The 4,717-nt window shown below is 41.3% G+C and overlaps 1 annotated feature.

The window, feature by feature from the left end:
- Nucleotides 1,745-1,794: an enhancer, noted in NCBI's record as "active region_5448". NCBI's record gives its function as "activates an Ori minimal core promoter by ATAC-STARR-seq in GM12878 lymphoblastoid cells {active_cell/tissue: GM12878}" and the evidence as "EXISTENCE:reporter gene assay evidence [ECO:0000049][PMID:35858748]".

Raw genomic sequence — 4,717 nt, 5'->3', positions numbered from 1 at the left:
AGGAGAAGAGGCTTCCAGACGGAGTTAGCAAAGGAAGAAAGATAGGCAATTTGGAAGGAGGGAAAGGATGGCCCAGGAAGGCTGGGAGGTAAAGAATATGCAAGCAAGGTCAAGAGCTCTATGCATTTGGCTCACTCTGCCCTCTGCATTTCCAGCCTCATGCAGCGATGTCATCCTTAGCAGTGAGTTGTCTACTTTTTCCGTAGCTCTCCCCAGAATAACACAGACCCCAGGGTCTTAAATGAAGGAGTGATTTTTCCAGATATTTCACCTTTCCCAAGGGAGAACACTACTCAGTTGTCTCTCCTTGGAACTCCTTCTTTTGCTGTTTATTGTTTCTGAGTGTGATTTTTTCCTTTCTTCCTCATTCCGCTGGTGCTTGTCACCACTCTGATGGGAATTCCTCTTAAAATGCCGGCAGTCTCTTTGATAAGCCTCGCCTTGCAGACCTAAGGTAAACTCCTGGAAGGATGCCCTGAACCTCTGGCTGTCTACCCACCTTCCACAACCCACAAATGGAGTGTTTCTGTGTACAGATCATCGGTTTTCCCCTCTTAAAACACTTGGACCTCCCCTGAGGGAAGAAAACCCTGGGAAACTCAATCACCCTCTTTGAGATCCAAGACAGGGCCTGGCCTTACTTTTTGGTGGACACTTATCTGAGCCAGCTTATAGCGTTACATTTTAGCTCAAGCGTCTCCAGATTTCCGCCTTTGAGGCCACACATTTCTCTAATATCCAAATACAATGACAAAATCCCCCATCCTGACTGGTTCTCTCGTTATCCCCTTCCTGCCAAAACAACACCAGCACCCAAATCCTTCTGAGAATACCTCTGTTAGGGGGATGCCTGCATTCTCTGCATTGTGTACACCATCTCCTCTCCAAGCTCCACCCCTGAGCATTGTCATGATTGTCTGTGCTTGTCACCCTTCCTGAGTCTGGAGTTCTTCAATGTGGACACAGCTCCTCCTCAACTCCATCTCACCTCTTCACAGTGTTGATGAGGGCAGCAGTTTCAAGAGGGAGATCACAGCAGAGGAGAGGAAACAATTTACAAATGAGTATCAGACCTCACTCTTGTAACCTTGCCTGGCCGTTCTCATCTCAATATTGTTTGCTCCTGTTTCTCTTCATGGGCCCTAGTCCCTAACAGTTGCTGTGGCCTCTTTTCTCTCCTCTTGTGTCTCTTCTCCCTTTTCCTAATTCTCCACATTCAGTGACCCTATAATACTCCTTGGGACCACTATGAAGAAGAGAAAAGGCCTATTGCTTTATTACATCAATCAATTTTACTTCCTTTGCCTCCATTTCCTATTTCCTGGATCATGACTTTCATAATCCCAAAATGCCATAAATTATATTCTCAAGAGAAAACTGTTCACTCTAGTCTTCCAACTTCAGTGGTAGCCTGGATCTCTGAAATTATTATTTTTTTAACAGCTTCAAATTTCCAGTTCCAGTTTCTTAGCTTCTTGGTAAAAGTACCTAGGCTTTCCCCTCCCAGGAGTTCGTAGGTAGAAGGAGAACTGTTAACACTCTAGTCTCCCCGTCTCCCGGGAGGCAAACACAGGGGCTAAGGCTCTTGTTTTATCCTCTTTCATGGGTAATACTGTGAAGGAAGGGCAGGATTTCCAGCCCAACTGTTGTAGCCATGAGTGAGAAGAATGTCAATTGAGAAGTGAGAAGAAAGCGTCAGTGTACAGGGGATGTAGACTGCTAAGCAATGCATTGTGACCAAGCACCACATGCCTGAGACAAAGCAGCTTCAAAGTCTCCCTGGCTATCTGTGAAAACTCCAGACACAAGCAGGATTTTGCAGCTTGAGAGAGCTGCCTACACGTTCTCTGGACTCCATTGGAGCTGCTATGGTCAACGTGCTATTATAAGGGATTCATGCTTCACTCCCAGAAGGGCCCTTGATGACATCTGTCCCACTTTCTTGCATCATTCATCAGGCAGTGAAAGTTAAATAACATGTCTGTGATCCCACAGCTTCTCAAATAGAGTCTAAAACTCAGACCCAGCGTATGTTCCCAGAATCCAAAAGTAAAAAGGCAAATTGCTAGATGGGTGGAGACTGGGGTAAGGTGGCAGTGGCTACAGCAGGAGCTCACAACGTTAGGCAGTTAGTTATGTGATTCTGTTATTTGTCCTCCTTTACCTTTCCAATGACACACACCTTATTAATGCATCACTGGCTATGGGGTCTGTAATCAGGCCAGTAAGAGCTATGTGATTTGGAACAAATTATTTACTTCTCTAAGCCTCAGTTTTCCCAACTGCAAAATGGGAATAATAATTATAGAATTACTGTTACGAGAATTGAGATAATCTAGATAAAGATCTTAGCACAATGTCTAGTTCATCAAAAGCAATCATTTAATAATTGGTATAATATTAGAATAATTTGTATTTTTATGTTGCTTCTAAATCCCTAAGGACCTGCCCCATGTAGTGGTGCTATCCATCTTGTTACTTGGTGCCAGGTAATAAGAAATCTGGGTTCTAGTGCAGTTCTCCTGCTGATGAGCTCTGTGTTCTTGGATGACTTGCTGCATCTTTTCAGACTAACTAAAACTCAGTCTGTATTTTATAATCACCATATGCCAGAAATTCTAAACAATATCATTGACCAAATCTTCCTTCCCAACTAATCTTGTATAGGTCTATGTTCTAAACAAATGCTGAAGTGACTGTGGAATTTTGCTAATATATATGTATACTTCAAACTAGCACATATTTATCACTTAATAGATATTGTGTCCCACATGGAAGTTAGTTTGGAGGACTTCTAGCTATTCAGTTAGCCTCGGACAAATGAGGACTGAGCTGCACACACATCCTTTGAATGTGTGTCCATAATGGCTTCTGCTCACTCTGGCACAATTTATTCTGCCAATTCCTGTGCACTACACATGCCTGCATTTAAACAGTTGATTCAAAATTAACAATAGAAGCATGGGATTATAAAGATGGGAAAACAGATCTTGAATTTCACCAATTTTGCCATTGTCTGTGACACATAGAGCTTTTATTTGTATTTAAAATTTTTCCATTGTAGAGAGAATATGAAAATTGCATGATAGCGTTGTGATTTCTGGAATTGAGGCACATGGGATTTATTATGACTTTGACAAATTTAATCTTATGTTTAAGACTTTTCTTAATTATTTATATATTGCTTATTCCATGTGAAGAAACTTTTCAAAATTAAAATTAATAAAAAGTGTGTTCTTCAATTAACCATGAGTCTAAATAGATTGACACATTGTTTAACATAAATACATAAAGATCAATTATGATGAAGTTCAGGCTCAAAAATAAAAACTGTAACATTATTTATTACTATGATGATTGCTAGGGGGCATACATTTTTTCCTTTTTTCAACATTAATATAATTTTCCCTTTTGTACTTGAATATGTATTTTATTTTCTATTTGTTTTCCTAGCATGCTTATCTATAAAATGTTCACTAACTGAAAATTTTGCTTCCTCCATTCTTTTTCAGTTTATATATATATATTGAGACAGGGTCTTGCTCTGTCTAATTTTTGTATTTTTAATAGAGACGGTGTCTCCCTACGTTGCCCAGGCTGCTATCGAAGTTCTGAGCTCAAGCAATCCTCCCACCTCAGCCTCCCAAAGTGCTGCAATTAGATGTTGGGCCATCCCACCAAGCCAATAACTTCCTGATTATTATACGAAATAACTTTGTTGTATAGAGAATGGGCTGTCAAAAGATGGTCCAATCCATGGGCCGTATATGCTAGGTTTGCTGCTGCCTCTGCCAACCAGCAGTAAAGGGATTGGACTGGTTCCAGGGTTGAAAAGGAGTGGTCCCTGGGTGAAAGTTAACCTAAATGTATGTGTGTGTGTATGTATATATATATATATACACACACACATATATATACATATATATATATATAGGCATGGTGTTTGACCACACAGTAGTGTTCTTTTAAAAATGTATTTGTTTTAATTAGTTGATACTTACAAATCAGGGTTCTCATGCAACGTTAACATTTTCTGACATCTCTTGAAAAATCAGACAATTCCATCACAATCAATTAGAGCTGAGTAGCAATTGCCCCACTCAGCATGGCTGTGGCTCTCCAGCTGAATGCAGTCACCACTTCTCCCTTATCACCACCCTGACCCGGAGGCTGACACTTGGACACTTGGTTGCCAATTAGCACTTGGTTTGCCATGAACTACTGTACAAATTGAAGGTGTCCCCAACTTGTTCTGTTCTCCCTTGAGGCTCAGGGAGGCCATATAATTTCCCCCAGATTACTCAACCACCTCAGATCTTCTGAGGTAGAATTCCCAGGTTCTTTCCAGTGCACTACCTGCCTATTGCATGCGTGCATGCATGTGTGTGTGTGTGTGTGTGTGTGTGTGTGTGTGTGTGTGTCAAAGAGACAGTACCACCTCATAGCCCATGTCAGTGCAACAGCAAGAGGTATACATAGAAGACTTGGTCTCGGCATATTGAGATTTTATTTTTCAGAGGAATCTTTGCTGGATCAAGTTATGAGCCATATTTTTCTGAGTCCTCTATCCCTTGCTCCCTCCATTTCTCCTCCCTTCCGCTTCTCCTTCCATTTCTCCTCCCCTCCCCTTCTCCTTCTTTCAACAAGCACATGTCCTTAGCTGCTTTATTGGGCACCTATGATGCATCAGGTACTGCCTAATCACTATAACATTCAT

The sequence above is a fragment of the Homo sapiens genome, chromosome 11 (assembly GCF_000001405.40).
Source record: "Homo sapiens chromosome 11, GRCh38.p14 Primary Assembly".
Taxonomy (NCBI): domain Eukaryota; kingdom Metazoa; phylum Chordata; class Mammalia; order Primates; family Hominidae; genus Homo; species Homo sapiens.
The sequence above is the reverse complement of the archived record's forward strand: the minus strand, read 5'-3'. Positions and strand labels throughout refer to the sequence as shown.